This window comes from Homo sapiens, chromosome X, assembly GCF_000001405.40.
Source record: "Homo sapiens chromosome X, GRCh38.p14 Primary Assembly".
In the NCBI taxonomy this organism is placed as follows: Eukaryota; Metazoa; Chordata; class Mammalia; order Primates; family Hominidae; genus Homo; species Homo sapiens.
The window spans coordinates 155,610,079-155,625,955 of record NC_000023.11 but is presented as its reverse complement, the minus strand read 5'-3'; the positions used below and the strand labels follow the sequence as shown (position 1 = coordinate 155,625,955).

Here is a 15,877-nt window from a genome sequence, read left to right as displayed (position 1 = left end):
AATAAAAAGAAACAAAATGTGGTTTATCCATATAATGAAATACTCTTCAGCCATGAAAAGAAATGAAATGAAACATGAATTGACCTTAAAAACATTATGCTCAGTGAAATAATACAGTTACAAAGGACCACATTGTATTATTTGATTTATATAAAATGTCTGGAATAATAGACAGAAAATGAATTAGTGGTTGCCAGTGGTAGGGAGTGATGTTGGGGTGTCATGGCTAAGGGATGCAGGGTTTGTTTTTGGGGTAATGAAAATTTTCTAAACTTGATTGTGATGGTGGATACACAACTCTGTGGATATACTGGATTTACTATAAGTGAATTATATCTCAACAAAGTTGTTTAAAAACATTTTCACAGGCAAAACTGACTGTGGGAAACAAAAAAACCCTTCAACAAATAAATAACAAGAAAAAAAGTAAGGAAGGAGAGGAAATATCTATTCAAAGAGATTTAAAAAACATAATGACCAATTAAGATACTGACTATATATTTGATATCAGGGGAAAATTGTTGTAATAATTGCATGTGGTTATATTGAATAAAACAGTTTTTATCTTTTATAGGTACATCCTAAACATTTACAGATGAAAAGATAAAATATAAGGGACTTGCTTCAAAATAATCTAGATGAAACAAAATTTGCCATTAATTGAATAGTTGAAGCTGAATGATAGGTATATGGGGATCAGTGTATCATTCTCTCTAGTACAGGTTTAGAATTTTCCATTTTAATTAGCTTGATTGAATCTTTCTACAATGTATACATAAATCAAAGCATCACATTGTACCTCATAAATATACACAATTATTTGTCAATTAAAATTAAAAAAATTGATCAAAAAAGTGTTTTAAAAAGATGCCTCAAAGCTGTGAAATGTGGAATAAAGTTAATAGCTCCTTTTATTTTCCTGTTTCCTTTTATAGTTTAGTGACTTAGATGAATTGACTCAACTATTCTGTGTTTCATTTTTGCATTGCATCACATTGTATTAAGAGAAGAAATTTACGTTTGTACTAGAATGTAACTTTCTTGCCAGTAGCCATTTCTATCTGTTATTCCGTGTTCTATTCTCAGAATAGGCATATAGTAGGTGTTTAATAAACATTTGTTGAATGAACAAAACAAAAAGGAAGAAATACTCTGCTGTAGTCTATTAAGTTCATTATCCTGGACTATGAAATTACTGTCAATGCACAATTTAAATTGTCTACTTCATTAAAATTTATTTGCTATTATACACTGTTATCAGGCCTGCTAAATAACATATGAAACTAATCAGTGAAAATACTACATTATGAAGTCTCTTGCCAGAGGGAAACTGATCATTTTAAAAGGGATTTTGTAGTGTTGCTATGGCCACAAATAGATGTATAGATGATAGATGATAGATAGATAGATAGATAGATAGATAGATAGATAGATAGATGATAGATAAATAGATGATAGATGCAAATATAGATTATATAGATACAGATAGGTAAATAATGTATTTCTGTAAGAAAGTGGTAAAAGTATAAATATTTAACTTTTCTTCATTTGTGTTTTTCTGTAATTTCTAGTTTTTCATCTAAAACATACATTATTTGTATAACAATTTTGTTAAAAGATTTGTAGATATGCTCAGGTTACCTGGTGTATGGTAGTTAGTTGAAAAGGAAACTCATTGTAAATAAATGCCAGATGAATCCCTGGAGAGAAGAGGCGCATTAATTGAATTGCTAAAGTAGCTGAGGAACTCTCTTAAACAGGCAAATGCCAAAAATAAACCATTTTGCTGCACATTTTCCCACATTTTTATTTGCACTGAAGATTCAAAAAGGAAAAAAGCAGCCTCCTATCTAACAAGGAATGTTTTTTAAAAAGCCATATAATGCTTTTCCCAATATTGTGTTTAATAGATAAGAAAAACTGCAATGATTTATTACACTCTAAATCTGAGCCAGGTGCTTTACATTCACTATCTCACTTAATTCACACGTTAATCCTGCAAGGTATGTGTCATTAACCTTATCTCCCAGATGCAAAAACTAAGACACAGAGAGGTTAAGTAACTTGCCTAAGCTTACACAGCTATTAATTAAACCAAATTTTGTTTCACTTAGAGTGAGAGCTTTTGATCTTCTTCATGAAATGTCTGGTACTAGACAGGTTTTGAAATGCAGAAATCAGCAAAGCTGTCTCTTCAAGAGCAAGTGGAAAGAAAATAAACCACCTGCAAGTTCTTCTGATGCATATTGGACTAGCGTCTGGACCCACGAGTAAGCAATGACAAGTTCTAACTAAAACATGAAAAATTCAGGGCGAGTCAGTTCTACTGAAGACAAAAACAGCATCAGATAGAGCAGTAACTGGTAACAGGTGAATACAGGGGCAAAATTGTTCATAATATTTTGGAGTATGAGTTTCCACATCTGTAAAATGAGAGAGCTTAACTAAATCAAAACAAGTTCAATAAAAAGTGCATAAAGTTCCTTTTTCTCTAAAATTCTATAATTCTAAGAAATGATTTAAATAAGGTATCTTCACATATTTTGTGTAACTGTATTTCAATATGATATGGCTTATTTTCAGAAAAGTGCCCATTCCTCTGTTGAAAAAAATGTGGACTTTCATTTTGGACACTGTAATTCAGGAAAATGATTCTAAGAAGCAATGAAGTTCATGGATAAATAGAGTCATAGAGGACAATAGCCATAAAGAAAAGAAGATCCTAGGTAATCTGAATATATTATTTACTTTTATATACTCAATCCCTGAAATGGGCCATTAATTTGTGAAATTTGGCCCAGTATCCTTTAAGTTGCTAGAGGTCTGTGAGGCCACAAACATATAGGTAAGGATGTGACAGCAATCAATCAGCTGCACATCAGAAGTCAGCCCCACTGTGAGGTTCAGTGATGGGAATCAGGATATAGGATTCTGTTTGGCCTAGCTGGGGATTCCAAAACAATTGGTTGATATTTCTCTTAGCTCTTGATTTCATATACTTGGGGAAAGCAATCCTAATATATGATGAAAAATGCAATATCATATGTATGGAGTTCTAGCAAAGGCAGTGGTTTAATTGAGACCCCTTAATGAATGCTGGATATCTGTTATAAATGTTTCTTTATGGTCCCACTTGGGTCTTTGCTTCCAAATTTACAGACCCATCTGTTGGTCTGCTTGACTCAAGAAGTTACTGATAAAAGTATCATCTTCAGATAATTTAACATTTTGAGAGACTGCTATCTTTTAAATATGAAGAAACTTGGAGGGGGAACCTTCCAGGACACTGTGATGATCCACATTATTATTTTCTCCTCTTCTAATTCTTGATTTGTAGAAATTTGTACAAGTACTGCTTTCTGCACAAACTGCAGCATTTTCAGCCTGTAGTGCAAAGTCATGCCCTAGGTATCTCCATTTTTATTTTTACTTAGCAGACATGGCTCCAATAGATAGGATCCTATTTGGGTTCCACTACAGAATGAAGGTGGGGTTGGCTGTGCAAACTTGAGGGATACAGCCAGAATAAGCCGCTGAGACAGTGAATTATGGAGCTCAAACTCTAATTAAGACAAATCACATAAGTGTAGGATGTCTGGTTAACACTGATTTTACAGCATGGAGTTCTCACTTTAACTGCAGGTAGTGGTTTGTTTTCAATACCCACAATCCTTCAGGGATGAAACATGCCCTAGGGCCACTAGAACCTATTTTCCAAAAGCAGTGATATTATAATTTCTTGTTAGTCCTCTGAAAGTTACTATACTTTGCATCACATATATTTTATAGCCCCAACAGTCTGACTTTAGAGTGTGAAAAGTGCAGAGTGAGGGTTTTTCTGAATGCCCATCATGCTCTGACAAGCACAGGTGTTGGTTTGAAATTGCTTCTACATGAAGCCTGTTGACCTTAATGCCTGTACAGGAGGTGGCCCTATACTCCAGAGATACTGACTTGATAGTGAGGACCACCCACCTGCCCTTTGCGGGTAGCCTTTGGCTTCTGTGAGTTTGTAGTAAAAGCAGGGCAGGGAACCCATGTCGGGGTCTTCTGCACTGCTCTGTTGGTGAAGTTCCTTTCTCAGATGCATAGACGTTGTGTAATAAGATACGGTATAAATGAAGAGACCCTTGAATACCTTTGGCTGCTCTGGAGCCCCAGATATATTGAGTCTCTTGCTCAGGAAGTCAGTCATACTAGAGAAGTTGGGCCAAGCATTGCTGGTAATACACTGAATTTCAAATAAATCTTTGACCATACTGAAATGAGGGGACCTTTGCTGATATCACCCTGACTACCAGAGTGGAGAGGACATCATTTGGTAACTTGGCCTACAGACCCTTGAAGACACATTTTTTCCTGTTGGCATATGATGATAGCCCAACTCATTTTATGAGAAATAGTTGAAACAAAAAGGAATGTTTAGGGAGAAGAAAACTCATGGAAGTGGGAGAGTGGTAGAACAAAGGAAAATCCAGGAAGGATGGAGTAGACAATGTGAGTAGACCAGGATTAAAACCTATGTTTGTCTGACTCCAGAGCCCAGGGTTCTTGCCTCACCAACAGTAAGACTGGAAAAAATGTAATAGGTAATATGAGAAAAAATTAATATGGTTTGATGACTAGAATATACTTCATTGTTGTATGCATTTCTTGACTTAAATCCAAAATGGATTTAAGCTATTTATAGTACAAGACGTGCATAGAATGTCTGCTAAAACAAAAGTTAAAAACAATTCAGAATCACATAAGCAGAATAAACTGAAGATAATGATAGTGACAGAGTTTGATCACAAAACTTAGCTGTTCTTGCATATTCTTGCACTCATACTGACTCTGTGAACAATAATAGTTGGTAAATCGGGTTTCCAGCATAGAAGCGGCAGCCATTGGCATTACTGGCTGCAGTAAAGTTGATTTTCTGTTGTAGAAATAGCACTGGTATATATAGTAGCATCTAGTCCTTTGTGGTAGTAAAAGAGGTTTCCTCGTCACACCAGTTGTGCAGTGAATTTTTGGTTGGTGGTCCTAGACACCCAGCCCATGCCTGGTTCTCCACGATTCATGATAATTCTGTTAGCCACCAAATATCTGTTTTTTCTAACTTAATTTTTATTGAAGTATAGTTTATATATAGTTAAATGTACAGATCTTAACTATACAAGTCAACGAGTTTTGACAAATGTATACACTGTGTAACCAACAACACAATCAAGATACAGAACATTATCATCACTCCGAAGGGTTTTGTCATTACTCCTTCCAGTAAATACACAACTCCTCTGCTCCAGGAAACCATTATTCTACTTTCTACCAGCATAATTTAATTTTGGAATTTCTAGAATTTTATATAAATTGTCATACAGTATGTATTCTTTTGTGTCTAGCTTCTTTAGCTGAGTATAATGTTTTTGAGGTTCATCTACGTTTGTTGCTTTCGAGTAATTATTTTATATGGGTGAGTAGTATTCCATTTTATGGATGTATAGTTAATTATCAATTTGCATGTTTTGAATTATTTGCAGTTTGGAGCTATTACAAATAAAACTGCTGTAAAAATTTGTGCAGAAGACTGTATGAGTATATATTTCCATTTCTCTTGGGTAAATACTTAGGAGTGGTATTACTGAGTCATAGGGAAAGTGTGTTTAACTTTATAAGAATCTGCTAAAGTGTGTTTAACTAAGAATCTTATAAAGTGTGTTTAACTAAGAATCTTATAAAGTGTGTTTAACTTTATAAGAATCTGCTAAAGTGTGTTTAACTAAGAATCTTATAAAGTGTGTTTAACTAAGAATCTTATAAAGTGTGTTTAACTTTATAAGAATCTGCTAACCAGTTTTCTAAAGCAATTGTGCCATTTTATTTTGCCATCAGCAATGTATGAGAACTCAAAATGCTCCACATCATCATCAACACTTGGTAGTATCATTCTTTTTTAAATGTTATAGCTTGTGTGAAGTGTTGTGTCTTTGTGATTTAACTTTTCCTTCAGTTCAAGAGTAAATGATGTTGAACATCTTTTCATATGTTTATTGGCCATTCGTACATCTTCTTTTGTAAGTATATGTTTAAATCTTTTTCCCATTTCTAATTGGGTTTGTTTGTGTTTTTATGTTTGATTTTAAGAGTTCTATATGTATTATAGATACCTTACTTTTGTAAGATATAGGTATTATAAATATTTTGTATTTAGTCCATGGCTTATATTTTCATTTTCATAACAATGTCTTTGGCATGCAGAAGTTTTTAATGTTAATGAAGTTTATCACTTTAAACTTTTATGGTTAATGATTTTTTTTCTATTTTGAGAAACAATTGCCTAACACAAGATCATGAAGATATTCTCCCATGTTTTCTTCCTTATGCTTAACAATTTCAGCATTTACGTTTAGGTCTATGATTAATTCTAAGTTGAGTTTTTTTTATGGTATGAGGTAGAGTTTGAGGTTCATTTTCTTCAACTTTCAGTGGTTTAAGAGAATTTCCCTGTTCAAAGGCATTGGTAATGATATAAAAAAATTAAAGTAATAAGACAGCATTGTATTGGCTGAAGGATAGACACTTAGATCAATGGAACCAAATACAAAAAAACAGAAACAGACCCTCACAAATTTGCCCAACTGACTTTTGACAAATGTGCAAAAGCAAGTTAAAAAAAAAGTAAGGATAGCCTTTCAAGCAATAGTCCTGGAGCAACTGAACATCTATAGGCAAAAGTATGAACTTCAACCTAAATTTCATACTTTACCAAAAAAAGTCACTGAAAATGGATAATGGACTTAAATGTAAGCCACAAAACTATAAAACTTTTTTTAAAAACATGATAAAATCTTTGGATATAGGTTTCAGTAAAGACTTGACATCTAAAGCGCAATCCATAAAAAAACTTGGTAGATTGGATTCCTCAAAATTCAAAACTTTTACTCTGCAGAATATTGTCTTAAGAGGATGAAAAGACAAGCAACAGAGTGGGAGAAAATACTTGTAAACCACATATCTAACAAAGAATTAGTATGTTAAATATATAAAGTTCTCAAAACTCAACCATAAAAAATGCTGAACAATCCAAGTAGAAAATGGGCAAAAGACATGAAGAAACCTTTCACCAAAGATTATATACAGATAGAAAATAAGCACATGAAAATATGTTCAATATCATTCATCATCAGAGAAAGGCAAATTAAAATCACAATTAGATATCACCACAGACCTGTCAGAATACCTGACATAAAAAATAGCTAAGATAAAAAATACAGTACAAAATGCTGGAAAGGTTGCATGGAAGCTGGATCTTTCATACATTGACAGTGAGAATATAAAATGGTACAGCCACTCTGGAAGACGGTGTTGTAGTTTCTTAAAGTATTAAATATGCAAATAGCATATAACCCAGGAAACATACTTTTGGACATTTAGGCCAGAAAAATTAAAACTGGTATTCCCAAAAAAAACACATGTGTACAAGAATGCTCATAGAAGCTTCACTGATAATAGAAAAATACTGAAAACAGCTCAAATGTTCTTCAGTGGGTTATTGGTTGAACAAACTCTGATACATACATACCATGAAACACCACTCAACAATAAAAAAGAATCAACTATTGACACACACAACTTAGATGGATCTAAAGGGAGTTAAGCTGAGTAGAAAAAAAGCCAATCCCAAAAGGTTACATATTGCCTGACTCCATTAATATAGCATTCTTGAAATGACAAAGTTATAGAGATGGAGAACATATTAATGGTTGCCAGGTGTTGAGGAGGAGAAAGGGAAGTGAGTGTGGCTATAAAGGGGCAGCATGAGAAAGCTTGTGGCAATGGAAATGTTCTACATTTTAATTGTGGTCGTCATTATACAAAGTTACACATAGAATATTTTATACAACTACACACACACACATATGCATGTGTAACTGGTAAAATTCAAATATGCTCTGTGGATTTTACCAATGTAAATTTCCTGGATTGATATTGTACCAGAGTTAGGCAAGATTTTACCATCAGAGGAAATTGTGTAAAGGGTACACGAGGTCTCCCTGTATTTTTTGGAAACTTCCTGTGAATTGACAATTATTTCCAAATAGAAGGTTAAAACCAAAGAAATATATGACCATAATATATGTCGGCCTATTACTGGATTCTGAGCTATTTTATTGACTTATTTGTTATTTCTTACTCTAATACCACACTGTTTTGATAAGTGTAGTTTTATAGTTAGTCTTGAAACCAAGAAGTTCTATAACTCCTCCTCTTTTTAAAGTTTTGCTGGAAACCCCAAGACATATGTTTACCCGTCCCAACATCTGCACAGATTGTCTTCTCTAATGCCTTGCTCCATAGATTTCAGATGCTTCTGCTACCCTGAGCTCTGATCTTTTCCTCCTTCGTTCAATGAGACTGCAAGCTCAGCTTGGAATCTAGCTCTTGATGCTGGGATCAGAAAATAGTCACCAGGCAAAGAGCTAAGGCAGTCTTGGGGCTTGATTTGTGAGTTTCTCTTTTCCTGGGGATCATAATCATGGGCTGACTATTGCTCAATATCTTTAAACAGTTTCCTTGCATATTTTATGCAGTTTTATGATGTTTCTAACGGCAAGAGTGCTGATCCAGTGTCATTCCCAACATAACTTTTTTTCCTGCTTAAATCAGTCAGCTTCAGCTTCTGTTGCATGCAACTAAGAACCTTGACTGATACAAGCCCCTATTTTATGCCATGTCCTATGATATGTGCTTGGCATTTATTATGTGATTTAATCTTAATTTAGAGAAATAATTCCATGTGGAAACTAGAGAAATGGGCAAGAAGCATTTCTAACAGTGAGGACAAGGTTGAGGAGAGGGAGGTTGCAGTGAGAGGAGCATTCTAGATGGAGGAAGAATGTATAAATGCACAAGGGAACCAGCATGCAAGAATTAAAGTATGAAATTTTTGTCATCTTCAAGGGAATTCTTCTGAGACCTTTATAAATTATCCTAATCCAATAAAACCACTATACATAGAATTTCCTCCATAAATACAGTAAAGTACAATTGTTTATATAGTAGGATATTACTGGACGGTTTTAACTTTCCCACCCCTATTAACATGGGTACTAATAAAATAACTAAGCATCCTAGTTTGCCCTGAACTGTTGTGGTTTTAGCACATTACAGGGAATTCCTCAGCCCCAGGAAAACTGAGAAAATTATCCTTTGGTATATGTGACATCGCTCACCTAGCTACAGTTGATTGGTCTTAGGTGGCCACCAGTCTCAAACTTGGCCAATAAATCCCTCATAGATTTATGGAGATAGGACCATAAAGGTCTATGGTAACCAGGGAGTGCCTCTCAGATCTTTCAAGGGAAAACCTACTATGAGGAGTGGAGTCAGCTAACAGTCTCCAGCTGGAGCACTTTTGGGATTATTTTTGCATCATTTGATCCAAGGCCATTCCCTTCCCAGGCATCTCCAGCCAATCTCTGAGCACAAGAGGTGTACTAGGGCTGTTTCTGTCTAACGCAGGATTCCTCTAATTAGCAGTCTCTGTTGGGGTGGTTGAGACTTCCATAGAGCTGTACTGTAATCTCCTCTTTATCTTGCCAGCCATTACCCACGATAGATCTGTAGATTTGCTTTTCAGAGGACCTGATATGGCTTAGTGTCTCTCTTCAGTGGTTGAATCTGTAATATGAAAATCTAGGAAGGTGTCCGTAACCGTATCTACTGTTACATGGACTTGGGAAACAAAAAGAGCTTGAGAGGAGTGGGGAGGAAAGCAAGGAAGGGAACGAGGGGATGAGAGAGAGAGAAGAGAGAGAGAAGAGAGAGAGAGAGAGAGAGGAGAGAGAGAGAGAGAGAGAGAGAGAGAGACCCCAGATAAATGTGCAGGGAAAAATAGGGGTAAAAGAATGATAGAGTCAATGTCACTGGAATCCTTGTTTTTGACGATTCTTGAGGCCTAACTATACCTTGCCTTTTTAAAAGTTTTGATTGTTCTAATCCTTCTTGAGTTCTGTGAAACACCTTATTATCTTCCCATAAATTTCTCTCTTTTGCTTGTTAGTTTCAGGTAGGTTTTGATAACTTTTAACTAATGAGTCCTAATTAATACTTCTTCACTGCAAAATTAATTGTATAGGTTACTACGTTTATGCTGAATCACATTTCTGTTGAGAGTCAGAAATGTTCATATCCCCAGAGTCAGAAATGTTCATAAACCGAAACACAAATTAATATACCCTTCAGCTTTACCAAATTTTTGTCCATGAATAGGTGAGGAAAATTTTGTATGGTCTAGATGATTTCTGAAAAGTTTTAGCATTTATTTGTTTCTCTATAGAATACCTAGCAGGATTCTTGTCATAGACCAAAGCTTCAGCCAAATTCAACATTGCACTGTGTCCAGAATATTTATTTTCTGGCTAAAAGTCACTACTTTTATAATAAATCTTCCTTCTTTAATTTTTTAACTCTTTCAAAGATCACTAGTAGTTCTTTTAAAGACCATCTTTGATAAATCGAAGTTCACAATCACAATTAACACATAGTTTTAACCACCTTTCAAGAACTCAAGGTTATGAATATGATTAGAGATCACTAAAGCTTCACTGAGAGGCTGATAAAACAAAGGTGTAGATGTTAGTCAAAGATGATGGCTCTCAGACATCATTTAATACAGTAGTCCATGCAAGAGATGGTGATAATTTGGCCTAGAGCAAGAGTCTAAAAATTATTGCCCACAGGGCAAATCCTGCCTCTTGCCTGTTTTTGTAAATAAACTTTTATTGGAACATACCTACACGCATTCATTTATGTATTGTCTGTGAATTCTTTCACTCTATGAAAGCAGAATTTAATACCTGGAGACAAAGACTGTATGTGACTCAAAAAGCCTAAAATATTTACCAGCTGACCCTTCACAGATAAAAAAAAAAAGCCAAACTCTGGTCCGGAATGTTAGCAGTACAGTGAGGGACAAATGCATGAGCAGATTATATTTTGGAAGCAGAACAAGAACAAGTTTGGTGTGTTCTAGGAACAGCTGGTGTGGCGGGAACATAAAAAGACCCAGATACTATTGTTTTTTTCTATTTTGTTTTCTAGCACATTTGTACCTATTGCTTTTATTCAGCTATTCATTCATTCCAAAAATATTAAGAAGTTCCACTCTGTGCCATACACCATGTGACCTGCTACACACACACACACAGAGAGAGGAAACAGTAAAATATCTGACTTTTATTTTATTACAAGTAAAATTTATATTTTATTAAAAGTAAAATATCCAGGCTCCCTAGAGTCTGGAGCCAAATTACCTAGGTTTGAATCTCAGCTCTGAAATTTATCTGCCATGTGATCCTGGTGAAAATTGCTTAACCTATCTGTGCCTCAGTTGCCTTATCCTTAAAGTAGAAATAATATCATCTACCTTAAGTGTTTGATATAAAACAAACACTTAGCCCAGTGTTTAGCATATAGTGCACATTTTATAAATGTTGGTTACTATTATTAAGGAAACTTGCTTCTTTTACTGACTCAAACAAACAGGTATTGTCTATCAACCTGTTGCCTTTTCTGAGTACTTTGTGTTGATTTCAGCTTAGCTTTAAGTGAGCTCATTCACTCTAATTGCTACAGTTATGATCTTCCTGTTACAGGACATTGGATCATGCTGTTCTTTCTGCCCAAAACTTTTTTTGTTTTCCCATTTGCCTGGCCAACTCCAATTTGTTCTTTAAACATAAGGGCATAAGGGCATGGACTATATCTGGGCTTTGTTTATCATTTTACACCCAGATCTTAGTACAGTGCCTGGCATACAGTAGGCACTCATTAATGTTTATTGCATGAATGAATACCAGCCAGACTAAATCTAGATTCTCATTGTACTTAGTTTTTCCTCTTTATGTTACATTCACACTCTGGATATGTCCTTTTGTTTACACACTGGTTCTAGAAATTTTTTAACAAATATTTATTAAATATATAGACATTTTAGACTCTGTGCTTGGAGAACAAATATGAAAAACACAAGTTTTCTGCTCTCAAGAAGCTACTTATTCATTAGAGGACAAAGACATGCAGAAAGAGAAATTATAATCTAGAGTAAGTGGTACTCTTGAGGCCTGTACGAGATCCATTGGGCATACTGGACCTAGGGAAAAAAAATATACAAACTTATCTGGGAAAGACAGGGAAGGCTTCACAGAGGAGGTGCTATCTAAATTGAGTCAAAAATAACGAGTAGCCGTTTTCCAAATAAACAAGTGCCGGGTAAGAGCATTCATGGCAGAAGGAATTCCAGGGCAAAGATGTGGAGGCTTTTTCTTCTTTTGTTGATCCTGACTTCTACAAACCAATTCCTTTATTGCTTTTTTGACATTAGATTAACACTTTTAATCTCGAATAAATATAATACTGCACAATTTCCCATTTTCAGTATATATGCATTTGATTTTTTTTGTTGTTCTTACTCTCATTTTTTAAATCTGCCTTGGATTTCCATTGCATATACTATTTCAGTATACTTTTTGGTCCTTCTTTGTAATATGTATCGTTCTTAAATTTTTACCTGCATAAGGTGTTCATTCCTAATGGGTATTCCCTTCTAGTGCTCACTGTATGTAGCACTGTATCTGGACCCTGGGTTCAAGATGCTCAGCTGAATCGATGGGAGTAATGAGCGGTATATGACTTCCATAAACTCAAGAAAATGGTGGAAAGGTAGTAGAATTTTACTTCTAGTAAACCTGGATAAACTACCATAAATAGAAGCGTAGTGGGAGGACTCGGGAGGAGCACTGAAATGGCAGGCAGGGGACCCAGGTTTTATAGCTTTATGGGCCTGTTTTTTCTCATCCCTGCACCTATAGCTTCAAGTATGTTCACTAAAGGCGATTGAATAGAGTGCCCCGGCCCAGTCCTTCCGAATGGGAGACTGACGCCCTAGCACCGGGCGAAGTCCCGGGCGCCAGAGGCACCCACCCTGCACGGCCGGAAGGAGTGGGGCGGGGCCTACAGGCTCTCCGCTGGGCCCGAGCGGGCTGGGGGAGGGGAGCGTGGGGCCGACAGTTTTGGGGGTGAAAAGGCAAAAGGCGGGTGAAAGGCTGCCTCCCGAGACTCTCCTTGCTTGGAATTCTGCCCACTCTGCGGAGTTAGCAGTCACGACCTCCAGCACAGGTGGGTTCCGTCCCGTGGGTCAGGGAAGGGGTGTCCCCATGGGTGCTACGGGTGGGTTTACCCAGGCGCTCGCTTTCAGGCCTGTCGCAGTGGGCGGCGGAGGCTCTCACCCGGGCTGCTGGGCCCAAGGGCGGTGGTACTCACCTTAACCCTGGCGGAGAGGAAGGCCACTCCTGCCTTGCCGCAGGGTTGTCGTCACGATCTGTGCCAGTTGCGCGACAGAGTCTGCCCGGAGATCAGCGTGAGGCCGGATGGGCCTAGCGCTCAGGAAGAGCTGGAAGAGCTGGAGCAAGCTCGCGTTGGGACTGACGCCCAGTGTACATTGTTTCAATCTCGGTCGGACTTTACAGCCCTGGATCTGTCACTGACTTGGTGTTTAGCTTTCAGCGAGTCCCTACCCTCTTCCTGCCTCACTTTGTTCGGCAGTAGAGTGGAAGGTGGAACTCAGCTGTCTGCAAGATCTTGCAGCACTTTCTTTCGTTCTCATATCCACTAATGTTCTCTGCCCAGATTTTACCCTTTGTCTGCCCCCTCTGGAGCAAGGCTCTGGGTAAGTAAGTTAGGCTAGGAAGTTTTCTTTCTCTTCCGAAAACAATGGAAAAGCCTTTAAATACTCCTGACTGCCCTGGAAACGACATTCAAACCATTAATTGAATGTCAACTCTGAAGAATGGGTTTGTGAATGCCATACTATTAAACGTTTTAACCAGATGATTGCCTAAAATGATGTGTGTTGAGTGGACATAGTACACTGCCTAGCAAAAGTCTCATGATAAATGAGTTGCGTGCTTTAACTCAGTCGCTGAAAGAAAAACTTGAGCTCTCATATTTAAGAAACACTTTCATAATCCACTCCCATACAGTAGTAGTCTTTTAGAGTTGCTTGTAGCTTGGTTTGCCCTTTCAGGACACACTGTAGTAAAAATTACATACAGTTTATTTTACATTAACTATAAAGACAAAGAAGGACTATAAACATTATGGATCAACATTTTGGTGTCAACTTCTGGTTTCTCCTCATTAAGGAACTGGTGGTAATGATAATGGTGAACATATATTTTGCAAAATACTATAATTTTCACAACAACCAGAAGACGTTAAGTAAGGTTATTTATAATAAGGCTTAAAAAACTTATACTTTATCTCATAACCAGTGTGATGAAGGGAATGTTTACTGGGGTGGTTGAGTCTGGGGGCTTGTTTAGTGTGCCCCACCTAGTTCTTTATTTCTTGGAAGCTTGGACTGGAACAGATCACTTCCTTGTTTTGGCCTCTGTTTCAGGAACCACCATTTGTTCTGTATTTCTGCTTGTCAACCCTGGGAACAACAGTAAAACCAGCCAAGTGGATCACTGGGTGTTTACAATGTTTCTGACAGCTGTATCTGATGCCTCCAGGGGCTGGGAGGGGGACCCCAGGATTAACAAACCTCTTTGGTGGGAAGAGTCTCTTCCTGCAAACTGAACACGGATCCATCAGTTGGGCACCACTGTGATCCCCTTTCTATAATACCAAGCATCCCCTGGGCTCATATGGGCTGTACATGCACCTGCCATTGCCCTGTGTAAAGATTTACAGGATAAGAGGCTCTTGAAAAAACCCAGCCTGCTCCATACCTGTAGGTTCTAGGGAAGGAGTGGCTGATATGTAGGTGAGTGTTCTTCTGGATGAGGAAAATACCTCATGATTTCCCAAATGGTTTGAAAGGTGAGAAAAAAATTATGCTGGATATCTGCTGAGCCAACCTGAAGGGTGAGTTTTGCATTGGCTATTTGGCAGGACCTGGTGTCTGCCTTGTTTAGCTATATTTTCACTCTATTCATCATACTCTGTTCATTCACTCCAAAGGCAATCAATGAATGTCAACTCTGTGCCAGGATGCTGATCCATTCACTGAGATTGGCAGCACAGGACAGCCAGTTCGGGAGGACAACAGGAATTCAACTTTAAGCATACTCAGTCTGAGGCCTCCTCACCTTTCCCCACTCCCTATATCTAACTGCTACAAAATCTTGTCACTTCTACATCCTGAATATTTTAAAAAATCCATCCACTTCTCTTTGTCCCATGACTACTCCAAATTTCAAGCCAGCAATATTCTTTTTTAATTGATTTAAAAATTTTTATTTTAAAAGACCAAATGGTTGCATGACCCTCGACTCTCATGGGAAAACCACAACCCACCACCACCACAGCAACAACAACAAACAGCCTAATGACCTCTGTATGATCCCTAATAAATTGTCAAAGTAAGGAGATGAAAGTTCTCTTTTTTTCTTGATGCTCACAGTGTTTAAATATTGTATTTAGGATAATTTACATGCCATAAAATTTGCATATTTAAAGTGATTTTATAAATTTATTGGGTGGTGCAACCATCACTACAATCTAATTTTAAAACATTTGCATCACGTCAGTGACATCTTCCTTGCCCATCTGCAGTCAGTCTTCATTACTACTCCCAGCATCAGACAACCACTAATCTACTTTCTGTGCCTATGGATTTGCCTATCCTGAAAATTTCATCTAAATAATGTCTCCAAAGTTTATTAATGTTGTGGCATATATAAATACTTCATTCCTTTTTATAGCTGAGTAATATTCCATTGCATCAGTATACTACATTTTGTCTATCTAGTCATCAGTTGATGAACACTTGGATTGTTTCTATCTTTTGGCTATTATGAATAAAGCTGCTATGAACGTTTGTGTG

The 15,877-nt window shown here is 36.9% G+C and overlaps 2 protein-coding genes across 9 annotated transcripts in view; one reads left to right on the top strand and one right to left on the bottom strand.

Moving 5' to 3' along the window:
* The window catches only part of SPRY3 (sprouty RTK signaling antagonist 3), a 169,874-nt gene extending 156,504 nt beyond the window's left edge, over positions 1 to 13,370 (bottom strand). For all 4 annotated transcript variants that reach the window (NM_001394353.1, NM_001394354.1, NM_001394355.1 and 1 more), the window contains exon 1: positions 13,309 to 13,370. The gene's annotated coding sequence lies outside the window, so the exon portion shown is untranslated. The remainder of the gene's footprint in view (positions 1 to 13,308) is intronic.
* TMLHE (trimethyllysine hydroxylase, epsilon) overlaps positions 13,004 to 15,877 on the top strand; it is a 123,942-nt gene continuing 121,068 nt past the window's right edge. For all 5 annotated transcript variants that reach the window (XM_047442235.1, XM_047442234.1, NM_018196.4 and 2 more), the window contains exon 1: positions 13,004 to 13,164. The gene's annotated coding sequence lies outside the window, so the exon portion shown is untranslated. The remainder of the gene's footprint in view (positions 13,165 to 15,877) is intronic.